Source organism: Homo sapiens, chromosome 14 (genome assembly GCF_000001405.40).
Source record: "Homo sapiens chromosome 14, GRCh38.p14 Primary Assembly".
In the NCBI taxonomy this organism is placed as follows: Eukaryota; Metazoa; Chordata; class Mammalia; order Primates; family Hominidae; genus Homo; species Homo sapiens.
In genome coordinates, this window is record NC_000014.9 from 23,214,150 (window position 1) to 23,235,414 (window position 21,265).

At 41.9% G+C, this 21,265-nt stretch overlaps 1 protein-coding gene and 1 pseudogene across 4 annotated transcripts in view; one reads left to right on the forward strand and one right to left on the reverse strand.

The window, feature by feature from the left end:
* RNF212B (ring finger protein 212B) overlaps nucleotides 1-21,265 on the forward strand; it is an 88,142-nt gene that overhangs the window by 28,814 nt on the left and 38,063 nt on the right. The gene's annotated exons all lie outside the window — the stretch shown is intronic.
* Nucleotides 15,619-15,983, reverse strand: RPL39P2 (ribosomal protein L39 pseudogene 2; annotated as a pseudogene).

Below are 21,265 nucleotides of genomic sequence, written 5' to 3' on the forward strand. Positions count from 1 at the left end.
TATAAAATTTTTTTAAAGTAGAAAGTCTCAGCAAAGAAATAGAAGATACAAAGAAAAACTAAGGCTGGGCATGGCGGCTCAAGCCTGTAATCCCAGCATTTTGGGAGGCCAAGGCAGGTGGATCATTTGAGGTCAGGAGTCTGAGACCAGCCTGGCCAACATAGTGAAACCCCGTCTCTACTAAAAATACAAAAGTTAGCTGGGCATGGTGGTACATGCCTGTAATCTCAGCTACTTGGGAGGCTGAGTCAGGAGAATCGCTTGAACCCAGGAGGTGGAGGTTGCGGTGAGCCCAAATTGCGCCAATGTACTCCGGCCTGGGCAACAGAGTGAGACTCAGTCCCCCCAATAATTAAATTAAATTAAAATTTTAAAATTAAATTAATTTAATTTAAAAAAAGGACAACCAAATAGAAACCTCAGACCTGAATAATATAACCAAAAAAATGTTTAAACTTCATTGGATAGGATCAATAACAGAATGAATAAAGCATAGGAAAGTCAGTGAACTTGAAGATAAAATAATAATAATAATAATCAAAATAGAGAGAAAACGGGCATAACTAATGTCAGGACTTCAGAAATCAGATTTAACATTTGTGTCATTGTAGTCCCAGAAAAAGAGGAGAAAAAGAGGAGAAAAAATGAAAACATATTAGAAGAAATAATGGCTGAAACCTTTCCAAATCTGTTGAAAGAAATAAGGCCACAAATTCAAAAAGCTGAGTGAACTTCAAGAAGAATAAACCCAAATAAATCCATGCCAAGACATATCATAATTAACACTAATAATTTTCAGAAAAAAATAAAGACAAAGTCTTGATAGCTAGAGAGGAATGATACATTACTGATATGATTTGGCTCTGTGTCCCCACACAAATCTCATCTTGAATTGAATTGTAATTCCAATGTGTTGAGGGAGGGACCTGGTGGGAGGTGATTGGATCATGCGGGCAGTTTCCCCCATACTGTTCTCATGATGGTGAGTGAGTTCTCATGAGACATGATGGTTTAAAAGTGTTTGGCAGTTCCCCCCACCCCTCTGCCTCTCCTGTTGTCATGTAAGGTGTGCCTTGCTTCTCCTTCATTTTTTGCCATGATTGTAAGTTTCCTGAGTCCTCCCTAGCCGTGCAGAACTGTGAGTCAATTAAATCTCTTTTCTTTATAAATTTCCCAGTTCTTTATAGCAGCATCAAGACAGACTAATACAGTTTCCTATGGAGAAACAAAGATTCAAATGACAGTGTATTTCTCCTTAGAAACCATCAATTCTTAAACCCAGGAATTTGAGCTTACAATGAGACATGATTGTGTCACAGCATTCTAGCCTGGGTGACAGAGCAAGACTCTGTATCTTTAAACAAACAAACAAACACACACACAAACAAACAGAAATCATCAATGCCCAAAGAAAACTGCACAACATTCTTCAAGTGCTGAAAGAAAGGAACTGTCCATCCAGAATTCTATACCCAGCAAAAATATTCTTTAGGAATAAGGTGAACTCAAGACATTCCCAAATGAAGGAAAACTAAGAAAAGGGGTCATGAGCAGATGTACCCTAAAAGAATGGCTAATGAAAATTTTTCAAACAGAAAGGAAATGATAAACGAAAGACACATGGAACACAATTAGTGAAAAAAGAACAACAGAAAGAGTAAAAACATGGGTAAATGTTGACTATCCTTCTCCTAGTCCTTATCCATTCTTAGTGAGTTATCTAATTATGTTTCATATTGAATTACATTGACACCACTAGACTGAGTTATTTTATGCATGTATAATGTAATCTCTAGAGCAACCATTAAAACATTTGCCGGGTGTGGTGGCTCATGCCTGTAATCCCAGCACTTTGGGAGGCCAAGGCGGGCGGATCACGAGATCAGGAGATCGAGACCATCCTGGCTAACACGGTGAAACCCCCATCTCTACTAAAAATAAAAAAAATTAGCTGAGTGTGGTGGCGGGTGCCTGTAGTCCCAGCTACTCTGGAGGCTGAGGCAGGAGAATGGCGTGAACCTGGGAGGCGGAGCTTGCAGTGAGTCAAGATCGTGCCACTGCACTCCAGCCTGGGTGACAGAGCGAGACTCCATTTCAAAAAAACAAAAACAAAACAAAACAAAACAAAATCTATACAAGATGATACATTCCAAAACATTATAAATAAATAAAAATGCAATTCTAAACAATGTTCAAGTAACCTACAAAAAAGCAAAAAGAAGTGAAACAGAGGAATAAAAAAACAGAGGAACATACAGAAAACAAAGAATCAAATAGCATACTTAATCCCTAACATATCAATAAGTACATTAAATTTAAATGGTTTAACTGTATCAATCAAAAGATAGACGTCGACAGAACAGATTAAAAAACAAACATGACCGAGCACAATTTCCAAACAAATAAATTATGCTAAGTAAAAAAAAAAAAAAATAATAAGGCCAATCTGGCTGGGTGTGGTGGCTCACGCCTGTAATCCCAGCACTTTGGGAGGCCAAGGTAGGCAGATTGCTTGAGCTTAGGAGTTCAAGACAAGCTTGGGCAACATGGTGAAACCCCATCTCTACCAAAAATCCAAAACTTAGCTGGATGTGGTGGCATGCATCTGTGGTCTCAGCTACTTGGGAAGCTGAGGTGGAAAGATTGCTCAAGCCTGGGGAACAGAGGTTGCAGTGAGCTGAGATTGCCCTACTGCATCCTAGTGTGGGTGACTGAATGTGACCCTGTCTCAAAAAAAAAAAAAAAAAAAAAAAAAGACCAATCTCAAAGGTTACAGATTGTATGATTCCACTTATACAACATTTTAAATGATAAAATTATAGAACTGGAGAGCAGATTAGTGACTGACAGATGTTAAGAATGGGGACAGGCACAGAAGGGTAAAGCAACAAGAAGGTTCCCGGGGTCCCTGAGTCCAGGCCTAGGCTCTTGGACAGCATTTCTGAACCTGCTATGGACCAGAGTGGAGCCCCCTGCCCTGAAGGGTGAGTCTTAGGCCTGGCAGAATTCACCACAAGCTGACAGAGAAGCTCCTGGGTTTTAAGTTAACATCAGCAGTGGCCTGGCAGAACCACCATAGACCAGTGGTGGCAGTGGTGGCAGTGGTGGGGGGGGGGCTCCTCTGCCTGTGGAAAGGGGAGGGAAGAGCGGGAAGAACTTTATATTGTGGTGTGAGTGCCAGCTTAGCTGCACTAGGACATCAGCTAAACTGCTAAGATTTTTAACTTCAATTCCTGGTTCCCAGAGAGCATCTCTGGACACCTCTGAGTCCTGGGGAACTCGCTGCCCTGAAGAGAAGGGCCTTGGCCAAGAAATAGTGCTGTGCTGGCTTCATGTCTGACCCAGCACAGTCCCAGTGGTGGTTGCCACATGGGTGCTTGCATCGCCACACCCACAGCTCCATGCTGCTGAGCACACAGAGAGAGAGCTTCCATTTTGGGGTGGGGGAGAAAGTAAGGGAAAAGAATAAGAGTCTCTGCTTGGTAATCCATAGAATTCTTCCAGATCACATCCAAGACCACCAAGGTGGTACTTCTATGAGTCTGCAAAAATCACAGTATTACAGGGCTTGGGACCCAGGTCTGTTTGAATACCTAGAAAGCCTTCCTAAGAAGGACAGGCACAAACAAGCCCAGACCACGAAGACTATAATAACGAACTCACCAGTTCTCAGACACTGATGAACATCTACAAGCATCAACACCATCCAGGGAGACATGACCTCATCAAATGAACTAAATAAGGCACCAGGGATCAATACTGGAGAAACAGGGATATATGACTTTTGAGGCAGAGAATTCAAAATAGCTGTTTTAAGGAACTCAAAAAAATTCAAGATAATGCAGAGAGGAAATTCAGAATTCTATTAGATACATTTAACAAAGAGATTGAAATAATTAAAAAGAATCAAGCAGAAATTCTAGAGTTGAAAATTGCAGGCCAGGCGCTGTGGCTCATGCCTGTAATCCTAGCACTTTGGGAGGCTGAGGTGGGCGGATCACGAGGTCAGGAGATCGAGACCCTCTTGGCTAACACGGTGAAACCCCGTCTCTACTAAAAATACAAAAAATTAGCCGGGCGTGGTGGCACACACCTGTAGTCCCAGCTACTCAGGAGGCTGAGACAGGAGAATTGCTTGAACCTGGGAGGTGGAGGTTGCAGTGAGCCAAGATTGCACCTCTGCACTATAGCCTGGGTGACAGAGTGAGAGTCTATCTCAAAAAAAAAAATAAATAAAAAGAAGAATGCAATTAACATGCTGAAGAAAGCCTCTTAAAAGTAATCTCTTAAAAGTAGAATTGATCAAGCAGAAGAAAGAATTAGTGAGTTTGAAGACAAGCTATTTGAAAATACAGAGTCAGAGAAGAAGGAATCATGTGAGTCTGGGAAGTTGAGGCTGCAGTGAGCCATGATCACACCACTGCACCCTAGCCTGGGTGACAGAAGTGAGATGCTGTCTCAAAAGAAAATACAGAGTCAGAGGAGACGAAAGAAAATAAAAAACAATAAAGCACACCTACAAGATCTAGAAAATAGCCTCAAAAGGGCAAATGTGAGTTATTGGCCTTAAAGAGGAGGTAACCTTAAAGAGGAGGTAGAGAAAGAGAGCTAGGGGTAGAAAGTTTATTCAAAGGATTATATCAGAGAACTTCCTAAACCTAGAGAAAGATATCAACATTCAAGTACAGGAAAGTTATAGAACACCAAACAGATTTAACCCAAAGAAGAGTACCTCCGGGCATTTAATAATCAAACTCCCAAAGGTCAAGGATTAAAAAAAAGGATTCTAAAAGTACGAGGAGAAAAGAAACAAATAACAAAATAGAGCACCAATATGTCTGGCAGCAGACTTTTCAGTGAAGACTTACAAGCCCGGAGAGAGTGGCATGACATATTTAAAATGCTGAAGAAAAAAACTTTTACCTTAGAATATATTCAGTGAAATATCCTTCAAACATGAAGGAGAAATAAAGGCCTTCCCAGACAAACAAAAGCTGAGGGATTTCATTAACACCAGAACTGTCTTACAAGAAATGCTAAATGGAGTTCTTCAATCTGAAAGAAAAAGATGCTAATGAGCAAGAAGAAATCATCGGAAGGTACGAAACTCACTGGTAAGTACCCAGAAAACCACAGAATAGTATAACACTGTAATGGTGGTTTCTACTCTTGTCTTAAATAGAAAGACTAAATGATGAACTAATAAAAAATAACAACAACAGCTTTTTAAGACAAAGACAGTGCAATAAAACATAAAGAGAAAGAACAAAAAGTTTAAAAGCAGAGGAAAGAAGTTGAAGTGTAGCGCTCTCCTTCTTCTCCTTCTAGTTTTTTTTTTTTTTGAGACAGTCTCACTCTGTCGCGCAGACTGGAGTGCAGTGGCAAGATCTCGGCTCACTGCAACCTCTGCCACCTGGGTTCAAGTGATTCTTGTGCCTTAGCCTCCCAAGTAGCTGGAATGATAGGCGTGCACCACCATGCCCAGCTAATTTTTGTATTTTTAGTAGAGATGGGGTTTCACCATGTTGGTCAGGCTGGTCTCAAACTGCCGACCTCAGGTGATCTGCCTGCCTCAGCCTCCCAAAGTGCTGGGATTACAGACATGAGCCACCACTCCCAGCCTTTATTAGTTTTCTTTTAGTGTGTTTGTTTGTATATGCAATCAGTGTTGTCATCAGTTTACAATATTGGGTTCTAAGATAATATTTGCAAGCCTCACGATAACCTCAAATCAAAAAAACACACAACAAGGGCCTGGGCACGGTGGCTCACACCTGTAATCCCAGCATTTTGGGAAGCCGAGGCAGGTGGATCGTTTGACGTCAGGAGTTCGAGACCAGCCTAGCCAACATGGTGAAACTCCATCTCTACCAAAAATACAAAAATTAGCCAGACATGGTGGCACATGCCTGTAATCCCAGCTACTCCAGAGGCTGAGGCACGAGTATCCCTTGAACCTGGGAGGCAGAGGTTGCAGTGAGCCTGGATGGCACCATTGTACTCCAGCCTGGGCAACAAGAGCAAAACTGTCTCGGGAAAAACAAAAACAAAAACAAAAACAAAAACAAAAACAAAAACAAAAACAAAAACCATACAACAAGGCCAGGCAAGGTGGCTTATGCCTGTAATTTCAGCACTTTGGGAGGTCGAGGTGGGTGGATTGCTTGAGGCCCAGAGTTCAAGACCAGCCTGGCTAACATGGCAAAACCCCATCTTTACTAAAAATACAAAAGTTAGCTGGGTCTGGTGGTGCACACCTGTAGTTCCAGCTACTTGGGAGGCTGAGACACAAGAATTATTGGAACCCAGGAGATGGAGGTTGCTGTGAGCCGAGATCACACCACTGCACTCCAGCCTGGGCAACATAGCGAGACTCTGTCTCAAAAAACAAAACAGCCGGGCTCGGTGGCTCACGCCTGTAATCCCAGCACTTTGGGAGGCTGAGGCAGGTGGATCACGAGGTCAGGAGATCGAGATCACCCTGGCTAACACGGTGAAATCCCATCTTTACTAAAAATACAGAAAATTAGCTGGGCGTGGTGGCGGGCACCTGTAGTCCCAGCTACTCAGGAGGCTGAGGCAGGAGAATGGCGTGAACCTGGGAGATGGAACTTGAAGTGAGCCGAGATTGCACCACTGCACTCCAGCCTGGGAGACAGAGCAAGACTCCATCAAAAAAAACAAAACAAAACAAAAAACAAATACACAAAAAATAAAAGCAGGAAATTAAAGCATACCACCAGAGAAAATCACCTTCACTAAAAGGAAGAGAGGAAGGAAGGAAAAAAGGAAGAGAAGACTGTAAAACAACCAGAAAACAAATAAAATGGCAGGAGTAAGCTGCTATTTATCAATAATAACATTGAATGTAAATGGACTAAACTCTCCAATCAAAAGTGGCTGAATGGATGAAAAAAAGACACAATGATCTGTCACCTAGAAGAAATACACTTCAGGCCAGGCGCAGTGGCTCACGCCTATAATCCCAGCACTTTGGGAGGCTGAGGTGGACAGATCACTTGAGGTCAGGAGTTTGAGACGAGCCTGGCCAGCATGGTGAAACCCTGTCTCTACTGAAAATAGGAAAAAAAAAAAAAAAGAAAGAAACACGCTTCACTTATACAGATACACATAGATAAAGGGATGTAAAAAGATGTGCCATGACAATGGAAACCAAAAAAGAGCAAGAATAGCTATAGTTATAAAAGACAAAATAGATTTCAAGACAAAAACTGTAAGAAGAGACAAAGTCATTCTATAATGATAAAGGGGTCAATTCAGCATGAGAGTGTAACAATTGTAAGTATATATGCACCCAATGCTAGAGTACCCAGATATATAAAGCAAATATTATTAGAGCTAAAGAGAAAGACAGACTCCAATACGGTAATAGCTGGAGATATCAACACTCCATTTTCAGCATTGGACAGATCTCCCAGGTAGAAAATCAACAAACATCAGACTTAATCTGTAATACTGAACAAATGAACCTAATAAACATTTGCAGAACATTTCATCCAACAGCTGTAGAATACACATTCTTCTTTTTAGCGCATGGGTAATTCTTAAGGATAGACGATATGTTAGGTCACCAAACAAATCTGAAAACTTTAAAAAAACTGAAATAATATCAGGCATCTTCTCTGACCACAGTGGAATAAAACTAAAAATCAATAACAGGAGGAATTTTGGAAAGTATATGAACACATGGAAATTAAACAGTATGCTTCTGAATGAACAGTGGGCCAATGAAGATATTAAGAAGGAAACTGAAAAGTGCCTTGAAACAAGTGATAATGGAAACACAACATACCAAAACCTATGGGATATAGTGAAAACAGTATTAAGAGGGAAATGTATAGCTATAAGTGTCTACATCAAAAAGGAAGAAGAACTTCAAACAAATAACCTAATGATTATCTTAAAGAATTAGAAAAGCAAGAGCAAACCAAACCCAAAATTAGGAGAAAAAAAGCAAAAATATGGATCAGAGCAGAAATAAATGAATTTGACATGAAGAAAACAATACAACAGGTCAATGAAACAGAAAAAAAGTTCTTTTGAAAAGATGAACAAAATTGATAAACTTTTAGCCAGACTGAATAAGAAAAAAAAAGAAGACCCAAAGAAATAAAATCAGAGAAGAAAAAGGAGACATAACTAATACCACAGGAATTCAAAGGGTTATTAATGGCTACTATGAACAACTATATGTCAATAAATTGGAAAATCTAGAAGAAATGGATAAATTTTTAGACATATACAACCTACCAAGATTGAACTATGAAGAAAACCAAAACCTAAACAGAAAAATAACAAGTAACAAGATAGAAGTCACAATAAAAAGTCTCCCAATAAAGAAAAGCCTGAGACCCAATGGCTTCATTGCTGAATTCTACCAAACATTTAAAGAACTACTACCAATCCTATTCAAACTGTTCTGAAAAGTAGAGGAGGAGGGAATACTTCCAAACTCATTCTATGAGGCCAGTATTTCCCCTATACCAAAACCAGACAAAGAAACATCAGAAAAAGAAAACTATGGCCAATATCTCTGATGAATATTGATGCGAAAATGCTAGTAAACCAAATTCAACAATACATTAAAAAGATTGTTCATCAGCTGGGTGAGGTGGCTCATACCTGTAATCCTAGCACTTTGGGAGGCTGAGGCGGGGGGATCATCTGAGGTCAGGAGTTCGAGACCTGCCTGGCTAACATGGTGAACCCCCGTTTCTACTAAAAATACAAAAAATTAGCCGGGCATGGTGGCACGCACCTGTAATCCTAGCTACTCAGGAAGTTGAGGCAGGAGAATCGCTTGAACCTGGGAGGCAAAGGTTGCAGTGAGCCAAAATTGCGCCATTGAACTCCAGCTTGGGCAACAAGAGTGAAACTCCGTCTCAAAAAAAAAAAAAAAAAGGAAAAGAAAAGATTGTTCATCATGATCAACTGAGATCTCAGGGATGCAAGGATGGTTCAGATATGCAAATCAATATACGTCGTACATCATATCAATAGAACGAAGGACAAACCATATGATCATTTCAATTGATGCTGAAATAGCACTTGATAAAGTTCAATGTCACTTCATGACAAAAAAACCCTTAAAAAACTGGGTATAGAAGAATGATACCTCAATATAATAAAAGCCACATATGACAGACCCACAGCTAATATTACACTGAATGGAGAAAAACTGAAAGCCTTTCCTTTTTTTTTTTGAGATGGAGTCTTGCTCTGTCGCTCAGGCTGGAGTGCAGTGATATGATCTCGGCTCACTGCAACCTCCGCCTCACGGGTTCACGCCATTCTTCTGCCTCAGCCTCCCGAGTAGCTGGACTACAGGCGCCCGCCATCAAGCCCGGCTAATTTTTTTGTATTTTTAGTAGAGACGGGGTTACACGATGTTAGCCAGGATGGTCTCGATCTCCTGACCCCGTGATCTGCCCGCCTCAGCCTCCCAAAGTGCTGGGATTACAGGCGTGAGCCACCGCGCCCGGCCAAGCCTTTCTTTTCAGATCTGGAATGTGATAAGAATGCCCATTTTCACCACTGTTATTCAACATAGGACTGGAAGTCTTAGCTAGAGTAATCAGACAAGAGAAAGAAATAAAGGGCATCCAAATTGGAAAGGAAAAGGTCAAATTATCCTTGTTTGCAGTTGTCATAATTTTATATTTAGAAAAACTTAAAGACTCCACCAAAAACTATTAGAATTGATTTTTAAAAATCCAGTAAAGTTGCAGGATACAAAATCAGCATACAAAAACCAGTAACTTTTTATATGCCAACAGTGAATAATCTGAAAGAGAAATAAAAAAGTAATCTTATTTACAACAGCCACATATAAAATTAATTACCGAGGAATTAACCAAAGAAGTAAAAGATCTCTATGAAGAAAACTATAAAACATTGATGAAAGAAATTGAGGAGAACACACATACACACAAAGGAAAGATATTTCATGTTCACGGATTGGAAGAATCAACATTGTTAAAATGTCCATGCTACCCAAAGTAATCTACAGATTCAATGCAATTCTTATCAAAATACCGATGACATTCTCCACAAATATAGAATGTCAAAAAAAAAAAGCTATCCTAAAATTTGTATGAAACAACAGAAGACCCAGAATAGCCAAAGCTATCCTGAGCAAAAAGAACAAAAAGGGAGGAATCATATTATCTGACTTCAAATTATACTGCAGAGCTAAAGTAACCAAAACAGCATGCTACTAGCATAAAACCAGACACATAGACCAATGGAACAAACTAGAGAACCCAGAAACAAATCCACACAACAACAGTGAACTCATTTTGGGCAAGGATGCCAACAACGTACACTGGGGAAAAGACAGTCTCTTCAGCAAATAGTGCTGGGAAAACTTGATGTCCATATGCAAAAGAATGAAACGAAACCCCTAGCTCTTGCCCATACACAAAAGTCAAATCAAAATGAATTAAATAATTGAATCTAAGACCTCAAACTATGAAACTACTTCAAGAAAACATTGGGGAAACTTTCCAGGACACTGGTCCGGGCAAAAATTTCTTGTGTAATACCCCACAAGCTCAGGCAACCAAAACAAAAATGGACAAATGGGATCACATCAAGTTAAAAAGCTTCTGCACAGCAAAGGAAACAATCAACAAAGTGAACAGACAATCCACAGAATGAGAGAATATATTTGCAAACTTTCCATCTGACAAGGGATTAATAACTAGACTATATAAGGAGCTCAAACAACTCTATGGGAAAAAATCTGATAATCTGATTTTTAAGTGGGCAAAAGATTTGAGTAGACATTTCTCAAAAGAAGACATACAAATGGCAAACAGGCATATGAAAAGGTGCTCAACATCATTGATCACATAAATGCAAATTGAAACTACAGTGATCAGATTAAGACACCTTGATGCCACCCCACACAAAAAAAAAACACCTACAATAAGATATCATCTTACCCCAGTTAAAATGGCTTTTATTCAAAAGTCAGGCAATAACAAGTGCTGGCGAGGATGTGGAGAAGAGAGAGCCCTTGTACACTGTTGGTGGGAATGTAAATTAGTACAGCCACTGTGGAGAACAGTTTGGGGATTCCTCAAAAAACTAAAAATAGAGCTACCACATGATCCAGCAATCCCACTACTGGGTATATACCCAAAAGAAAGGAAATCAGTATATCAAAGAGATATCTGCACTCCCTTGTGTGTTGCAGCACTGTTCACAATAGCCAAGATTTGGAAGCAACTTAAGTGTCCATCAACAGATGAATGGATAAAGAAAATGTGGTACTTATATACAGTAGAGTACTATTCAGCCATAAACAAGAATGAGATTCTGTCATTTGTAGCAACATGGGTGGAACTGGAGGTCATTATGTTAAGTGAAAAAAGCCAGGCACAGAAAGACAAACATTTCATGTTCTCATTTATTTGTGGGATCAAAAATCAAAACAATTCATGAAGATAGAGAATAGAAGGATGGTTATTAGAGGCGGGGAAGGGTAGTGGGGATGGGGTGGGGAGGAGATGGGGATAGTTAATGCATACCAAAAAAAATAGAAAGAATAAATAAGACCTAGTATTTGATAGCATAACAGGGTGACTATAGTGAATAATAATTTAATCATACATTTAAAAATAACTAAAAGAGTATTGTACATTAAAAAATAACTAAAAGTATAATTGGATTGTTTGTAACACAAAGGATAAAAGCACGAGGGGATCGATACCCTATCTTTCATGATGTGAATATTACTCATTGCACTATTACACATTGCAAAATATCTCATGTACCCTGTAAGTATACACACCAAGTATGTACCCACAAAAATGAAAAATTTTTTAAAAAATTAAAAAACTCGGCTGGGCGCGGTGGCTCACGCCTGTAATCTCAGCACTTTGGGAGGCTGAGGCGGGTGGATCACGAGGTCAGGAGTTGGAGACCAGCCTGGCCAAGATGGTGAAACCCCGTCTGTACTAAAAATACAAAAATTAGCAGGGTGTGGTGGCGGGTGCCTGTAATCCCAGTTACTCGGGAGGCTGAGGCAGGAGAATCGCTTGAACCCAGGAGGCGGAGGTTGCAGTGAGCCAAGATCGCTCGCTGCACTCTAGCCTGGGCGACAGAGCAAGAAACCGTCTCAAAAAAAAAAAAAAAAAAAATTAAATAAATAAATAAATAAATAGGAACACGGGGCCGGGCGCGGTGGCTCACGCCTGTAATCCCAGCACTTTAGGAAGCTGTGGCGGGCGGATCACCAGGTCAGGAGATCGAGACCATCCTGGCTAACACGGTGGAACCCCATCTCTACTAAAAATACAAAAAAATTAGCCGGACATGGCGGCGTGCGCCTGTAGTCCCAGCTGCTGGGGAGGCTGAGGCAGGAGAATGGGGTGAACCCGGGAGGCGGAGCTTGCAGTGAGCCGAGATCGCGCCACCACACTCCAGCCTGGGTGACAGAGCGAGACTCTGTATCAAAAACAAAACAAAAAGAAAAGGGGACACGGAAAACCGGTGGGTGATGGTAAGAGATGGCACAAGGCATCTTCGTGGTGCTGGACCAGTCTCGTCTTATCTCGGCTAGTCCCCTCCCCTCCCCTCCCCTCCCGTCTCCTCTCCTCTCTTCTTTTTTTTTCCTTTCCTTCTTTCTTCTTCTTCTTTTTTTTTTTTTTAATAGAGAGGAGGTCTATGTTGCTCAGGCTGGTCTTGAACTCCTGAGCTCAAGTAATCCTCCGGGTTTGGCCTCTCAGACTGCTAAGATTACAGACATGAGCCATCACACCCGGCCCTTCAGTCTGTTTCTTGATTGTGGTGGTGGCCTCACAAATCTTTACATGTGATAAAATTGTGAACACACACAAAAATGAGTATAAGTAAGACTAATGAAATCAGTAATGTCATGAGGTCTATGGATGGTACCAATGTCAATTTATTGGTTTTGATATTGTATTATATTTATATAAGAAGTTATCGTTGGGGAAATAAATGAGTCAAGGGTATATGGAACCTTTCTACACTACTTTTGGCAATTTCCTATGAATCTATAGCTATTTTATTTTATTATTATAATTTTTTTTTTGGTAAAACGGAGTAGAAACTTTATTCGTTGATCAGGGAATGGAGAAGAGGAGTTTGTGCTCAAAGAACCTTCTCTCTGTAATTATTTTAAAACAAAAAGTTACAATTTATGGTATTAGAAAGCAGGACAATGGTTGCCTTTAGGGGAGATGGTGTATGGAAGCGGGCACAGGGGTTTTCTGGGTGCTGGGAATGTTATGATTTCTGATCAGGGTGGCTGATTACATGGGTGTGTTGAGTTTGTGGAAATTCAGTAAGCTATGTGTGCAAGAAATAGGCATACTTCTGTATGTATATTATACATCAATATACATTGAATATACATTAAATGTCAATATACATTGAATATACATTAAATCGAACAAAAAGTGTTTTTTTGTTTGTTTTGAGACTAGTTCTCGCCCTGTCACCCAGGCTGGAGGCAGTGGTGCAATCACTGCTCACTGCAGCCTCAACCTGCAGGCTCAAGAGATTCTCCCACCTCAACCTCCTTAGTAGCTGGGACTACAGGCATGCATCAGCACGCCTGGCTAATTTTGTACTTTTTGTAGAGACAGGATTTTACTACATTGGCCAGGCTGATCTCAAACTCCTGGACTCAGGTGATTCACCCACCTCAGCCCCCCGAAGTGCTGGGATTACAGGCTTGAGTCACCACACCTGGTCAATAAAAAGTTCTAAAAATATAAAAGTTTTTTAAAAATCTCATCAGGCAATGCCAGGCATGGTGGCTCAAGCCTGTAATCCCAGCACTTTGGGAGGCCGAGGCAGGTGGATCACCTGAGGTCGGGAGTTCAAGACCAGCCTGACCAACATGGAGAAACCTCGTCTCTACTAAAAATACAAAATTAGCCAGGCGTGGTGGCACATGCCTGTAATCCCAGCTACTCAGGAGGCTGAGGCAGGAGAATTGCTTGAAGGTGGTGGAGGTGGAGATTGCGGTGAGCTGAGATCGTGCCATCACACTCCAGCCTGGGTGACGAGAGCGAAACTCTGTCTAAAAAAAAAACTCATCAGGCTCTTTTTAGAAATTGTTTATCTGATAATAAAATTCATTTGGAAATGCAAATGAGTTAGAATGGTCAAAGCAACTCTGCAAAAGAACAGGCTGGCCAGGCGCAGTGGATCACAGCTGTAATCCCAGAGCTTTGGGAGGCCAAGGCAGGAAAATCACTTGAGGCCAGGAGTTTGAGGCCAGCCTGGCCCACATAGTAAAACCCTATCTCTACCAAAAAAAAAAAAAAAAAAAAAAAAATTAACAGGTGTGGTGGCATGTGCCTGTAGTCCTAACTATTTGGGAGGATGAGCAGGGAGGATGAGCAGGGAGGATCACTTGAGCCCAGGACTTCCAGGTTGCAGTGACTTGTGATCACATTAACGCAATCCAGCCTGGGTGACAGAGCAAGACTCTCTAAAAAAACAAAAAAACAAAACAAAACAAAACAAAAACACAAGAAGAAGAAAGAACAAAGAGGATCAAGACTACATCATTTCAAGACTTATCATAAGGCTACAGTAAGTGACAGTATGGTATTGGCATCAAGACAGACAAATCAATCAGTGGAACAGAATAGAGCATGCAGAAATGGGCTTGAATATGTATAGAACACTGATTTTCCTTTTTATTTCGGTAAAATATATAACATAAAATTTGCTATTTTAACCATTGTTAGTGTGCAATTCAGTGGCATTAGGTACATTCACAATGTTGTACAATCATCATCTCTATTTCCATAATTTTTCATAACCACTAACAGAAACTCTTCACCCATTAAGCAATTACTTCCTATCTCTCATACCCCTAGTTCCTGCTAACCTCTAATCTACTTTCTGTCTCTATAAATCTGACTGTTCTGGATATTTCAGTGAGATTATACAATATTTCTCTTTTTGTGTCTGGCTTATTTCACTTAGCATAATTTTTTCAAGATTCATCCATGTTGTAGCATGTATCAAAACTTTATTTCCTTTATGGCTGAATAATATTTTATATATATATATATATATATATATATATATATATATATATACCACATTGTTTATCCATTCATCTACTAATGGACATTTGTGTTGTTTCTATCTTTTGGTTATTGTGAATAATGCTGGTAGGAATATTGGTGTACACATATCTGTTTGAGCCCCTGTTTTAAATTATTTTGTATACACCTAGGAATGGAATTGCTGGGTCACATGGCAGGATAGTTCTATTTTTCACTTTTTGAGGAGCCACCAAATTGCTTTCCAAAGCAGGTGCATCATTGTACATTCCCATCAGCAATGTACAAGGGTTCTGATTTCTCCATATCCTCCTAAAACATATTTTCATTTAGAAAATTCTAGCCACCCCACCACATGTGAAATGATATTTCACTGTGGTTTTAATTTGCATTTCCCCTATGACTAATTATATTGAGAATCTTTTCATGTGTCTGCTGGACACTTCTATATCTTCTTTGTAGAAATGTCTATTCAAATCTTTTGCCTATTTTTAATTGGGTTGTTTGACTTTTTTGTTGTTGAGTTGTTCTTTTTTTTGAAACAAGAGTTCTCACATATTTATTACTGAACCCAGACTACTAGCGCACAGCAAATAAAGAAACAGAAAAACTATATTCCCAATAAAACATGCCCAACTGTCCAGATAGTGGTGACATTTTTAGCTTGATATGGTAAGATGGTTATGAGCTTGATACTGCATAAATATGTGTGCCATCTCGTGCACAATTCCTTATAGATCCAGCTTGAATCTTCTCCAATGTCTCCTTTTAAAGTTGTACCTGATTTTATTATCAGTTTTCATCCAAATCCACTGAGGAATGGGATGATTTTGCTTTTGTTTCTTGGTTAGGAATTGCTTAATACTGAAAGTCTTGTGAGAAGACATGATGAGAAGCGGAGTCGAATACACACCACAATGGTGGAAAAAGGAAGAGAGAGAGAGTTGTAGTTCTTTTTATATTTTGAATATTAAAACCTTATCAGATATATGATTTACTAATATTTTATCCCATTCTGTGGGTTGCCTTTCACTTTCTTGATAGTATCCTTTGTTGCACAAAAGTTTTTAATTTTAACTAAGTCCCTTTTATTTATTTTTCTTCTGTTGCCTGTGCTATTTTTGTATTTAAAAAGCCATTGCCGGCCGGGCGCGGTGGCTCACGCCTGTAATCCCAGCACTTTGGGAGGCCGAGGCGGGTGGATCACGAGGTCAAGAGATCGAGACCATCCTGGCTAACACGGTGAAACCCCGTCTCTACTAAAAATACAAAAAATTAGCCGGGTGTGGTGGCGGGGGCCTGTAGTCCCAGCTACTCGGGAAGCTGAGGCAGGAGAATGGCGTGAACCCGGGAGGCGGAGCTTGCAGTGAGCCGAGATCGCGCCACTGCACTCCAGCCTGGACGACAGAGCGAGACTCCATCTCAAAAAAAAAAAAAAAAAAAAAAAAAAAAAACCATTGCCAAATACAAGGTCATGAAGATTTTCCCCTATATTTTCTTCTAAGAGTTTTAGAGTTTTCACCCATACATTTAGGTCTTTGATCCATTTTGAGTTAATTTTTGTATATGGTGTAAGGTAAGGATTCAACTTTATTCTTTTGCATATGGACATAGTTTTCCCAGCACTGTTTGTTGCAGAGACTGTTCTTTCCCCTATTCAATGGTCTTGACACCCTTGTCAAAAATCAACTGACCATAGATGTGAGGGTTTATTTCTGGATTCTCAGTTCTATTCTGTTGGTCTATATATGTCTATCCTTATGCTAGAAACACACTGTTTTGATTACAGTAGCTTTGTAGTAGGTTTTGAAATTGGGCAATATGAGTCTTCCAAATTTTTTCCTTTTTAAGATTGTTTTGACTATTCTAAGTTTTTTGAAATTTTATATTAATTTTAGGGTGGATTTTTCAATTTCTGAAAAAATAGTTGGAATTTTGATAGGGATGACATTGAATCCGTATATAGCTTTGGATGCTATTGTAAACAATATTAAGTAGTGTTCTATGTACAAACAAGTCTTGTGCCTCTCCTTGATTAAATTTATTCCTAAATATTTTATCCTTCTTGATGCTGTCACAAATGGAATTATTTTCTCTGGGCAATCAATTTTTGACAAAGGCAATTTAGTTGAGAAAAGTTAATCTTTTAAAAAAATGGTGCTGAAACAATTGGATATCCACATGCAAAACACACCCACATATGCACATGCAAACTTTAATCCATACCTCACACCATGTAGAAAATTAACTCAAATGAATCATATACCTAAATGTAAAATCAAAATTACAAATCTAGATTTCTAGAATTTTTGAAGAAAATTTCCAGAGGTACCCCATTTTCCTTTCAGAGTAGAAGAAAAGATAAGAATATTTAAAGAGCTCCCCCTCTCCCCTCTCCCCTCTCCCCTCTCCCCACGGTCTCCCTCTCCCTCTCTTTCCATGGTCTCCCTCTGATGCTGAGCCGAAGCTGGACTGTACTGCTGCCATCTCGGCTCACTGCAACCTCCCTGCCTGATTCTCCTGCCTCAGCCTGCCCAGTGCCTGCGATTGCAGGCACGCGCCGCCACGCCTGACTGGTTTTTGTATTTTTTTGGTGGAGAGGGGGTTTCGCTGTGTTGGCCGGGCTGGTCTCCAGCTCCTAACCGTGAGTGATCTGCCAGCCTCGGCCTCCCGAGGTGCCGGGATTGCAGACGGAGTCTCGTTCACTCAGTGCTCAATGTTGTTGCCCAGGCTGGAGTGCAGTGGCGTGATCTTGGCTAGCTACAGCCTCCACCTCCCAGCCGCCTGCCTTGGCCTCCCAAAGTGCCGAGATTGCAGCCTCTGCCCGGCTGCCACCCCGTCTGGGATGTGAGGAGCGTCTCTGCCTGGCTGCCCATCGTCTGGGATGTGAGGAGCCCCTCTGCCCGGCTGCCCACTCTGGGAAGTGAGGAGGGCCTCTTCCCCGCCGCCATCCCGTCTAAGAAGTGAGGAGCGTCTCTGCCCGGCTGCCCATCGTCTGAGATGTGGGGAGCGCCTCTGCCCCGCCGCCCCATCTGGGATGTGAGGAGCGCCTCTGCCCGGCCGCAACCCCATCTGGGAGGTGAGGAGCGTCTCTGCCCGGCTGCCCTGTCTGAGAAGTGAGGAGCCCCTCCACCTGGCAGCCACCCCATCTGAGAAGTGAGGATCCCCTCCGCCCGGCAGCCGCCCTGTCTGAGAAGTGAGGAGCGCCTCCGCCCGGCAGCCGCCCCGTCTGAGAAGTGAGGAGCCCCTCCGCCCGGCAGCCGCCCCGTCTGGGAAGTGAGGAGCGTCTCTGCCCAGCAGCCACCCCTCTGGGAGGGAGGTGGGGGTCAGCCCCCGCCCAGCAGCCACCCCGTCCGGGAGGGAGTTGGGGGGTCAGCCCCCGCCCGGCCAGCCTCCCCGTCCGGGAGGGAGTTGGGGGGTCAGCCCCCACCAGGCCAGCCGCCCCGTCTGGGAGGGAGGTGGGGGGTCAGCCCCCGCCCGGCCAGCCGCCCCGTCCGGGAGGGAGGTGGGGGGGTCAGCCCCCACCCGGCCAGCCGCCCCGTCTGGGAGGGAGGTGGGGGGGGGGTCAGCCTCTGCCCGGCCGCCACCCTGTCTGGGAGGTGGGGGTGCCTCTGCCCAGCTGCCCCGTCTGGGAAGTGAGGAGCCCCTCTGCCCGGCCACCACCCCATCTGGGAGGTGTACCCAACAGCTCATTGAGAACGGGCCATGATGACGATGGTGGTTTTGTGGAATAGAAAAGGGGGAAAGGTGGGGAAAAGACAGAGAAATCAGATTGTTGCTGTGTCTGTGTAGAAAGAAGTAGACATAGGAGACTCCATTTTGTTCTGTACTAAGAAAAATTCTTCTGCCTTGGGATGCTGTTGATCTATGACCTTACCCCCAACTCTGTGCTCTCTGAAACATGTGCTGTGTCCACTCGGGGTTAAATGGATTAAGGGCGGTGCAAGATGTGCTTTGTTAAACAGATGCTTGAAGGCAGCATGCTGGTTAAGAGTCATCACCACTCCCTAATCTCAAGTACCCAGCGACACAAACACTGCGGAAGGCCGCAGGGTCCTCTGCCTAGGAAAACCAGAGACCTTTGTTCACATGTTTATTGGCTGACCTTCCCTCCACTATTGTCCTATGACCCTGCCAAATGCCCCTCTGCGAGAAACACCCAAGAATGATCAATTAAAAAAAAAAAAAAGAATATTTAAAGAAAAGAAAATTTTATCTGGGTTTGGTGGCTCATGCCTATAATCCCAGTACTTTAGGAGGCTGAGGTGGGAGGATCAGTTGAGCCCAGGAGTCTGAGACCAGCCTGGGCAACATGGTGAAACCCCATCTCTACAAAAAAAAAAAAAAAAAAAAAATAGAAAAATTAGCCGGGTATGGTGGTGCATGCTTGTAGTCCCAGCCACTCGGGAGGCTGAGTTAGGGGAATCATTCGGGCCTGGGAGGTTGAGGCTGCAGTGAGCCATAATCATGACACTGCACTTCAGCCTGGGCAACAGAGTGAGACCCTGTCTCAAAAAAAAAAAAAAAAAAAAGAGTTCTCAAAACTCAACAATAAGAAAATAAACAACCCAATTAAAAATGGGTAGGTTGGGCATGGTGGCTCATGCCTGTAATCCCAGCACTTTGGGAAGCCAAGGTGGGCGGATCACCTGAGGTCAGGAGTTCGAGACCAGCCTGGCCAACACGGTGAAACCCTGTCTCTACTAAAAATACAAAAATTAGCCAGGCCTGGTGGTGTGTGCCTGTAGTTCCAGCTACTCAGGAGGCTAAGGCAGGAGAATTGCTTGAACCTGGGAGGCAGAGGTTGCAGTGAGCTGAGATAGTACCACTGCACTTGCACTCCAGCCATGTATACCATGTGTACGAAGGAACACTCAAAAAGCCCAGAACACTCAAAACCAAGATATTTTCTAGGAAAACTGTTGGTCTCTTTTTTTTTTCAACTGTTCAAATTTCTATTAAGTTGTTGGTTTTCTTTTTTAAAAAGCTCTTTGTATATTAAAGCTATTAGCCCTTTAGGATTTAAGTTGATTTTTTTTGTAATTTGTCACTTTGTGCTTTACTTTTCGTGTGTGTGTGTGTGTGTACATGCAAAAAGTTTTTTTTAAAATTACTTAGTCAAATTTGTCAATATTTTCTCTCTTCTAGATTTTTGGATCCTAGGAAGATTTCCTGCACACCTAGGTTATAAGAGTATTTACTATTATTTTCGTCTGGTACCTGTCTGTTTAGATTTCTGATCCATTTGAAATTTATCCTGGTAAACAGTATGAGAAACAGACTCAATTTTATATTTTTTCAGATGGCTATTCAGTTGTCCCAATTCTATGTATATAAAAATTCAATTCCCCATGCACACTTACCAATTAAAATTTATTAACGTACTTGGTTCTATTTCTAGACTTGATTCTGTTTCATTGGTCTACACGTTTATGCACCAACACCACACTTTAAATTACAGACGTTTTATAATATATTTTAATATTGGATGGGGCTAACGCCCCACTCCACATGGCACTAAAATATTTTCCAGTGAAAACTTTTATTTAAGTAGAATTAAGATTACTCAGGCATGATGCTACATGCCTGTAATCCCAGCTGCTGGGGAGGCTGAGGCAGCAAGATGGTTTGAGGTCAGGAATTTGAGACCAGCCTGGGCAACACAGTGAGACCTTGTCTCTTAAAAAAATATTAAAAATTAGGGCTGGGTACGGTGGCTCATACCTGTAATCCCAGCACTTTGGGAGGCCGAGGCAGGTGGATCACGAGGTCAAGAGTTTGAGACCAGCCTGGCCAACATGGTGAAACCCCATCTCAACTAAGAATACAAAAATTAACCAGGCGTGGTGGCAAATGCCTGTAATCCCAGCTACTTGGGAAGCTGAGGCAGGAGAATTGCTTGAACCCAGTGGGCGGAGGTTGCAGTGAGCTGAGATGGTGCCACTGCGCTCCAGCCTGGGTGACAGAGCAATACTCTGTCTCAGGAAAAAAAAAAAATAGCCAGGCAAGGTGGAGGAGGCTGAGGCAGAAGGATCCCTTGAGCCCAGGTATTCTAGGCTGTAGCAAGCTATGATTGTGCCACTAAACTCTAGCCTGGGCAGCAGAGGGAGACGCCCATCTCTTAAAAACAATTATATTTAAGAAAACTATTTATGGAATAGTTTGATTTGTAACCTGAGCTAATC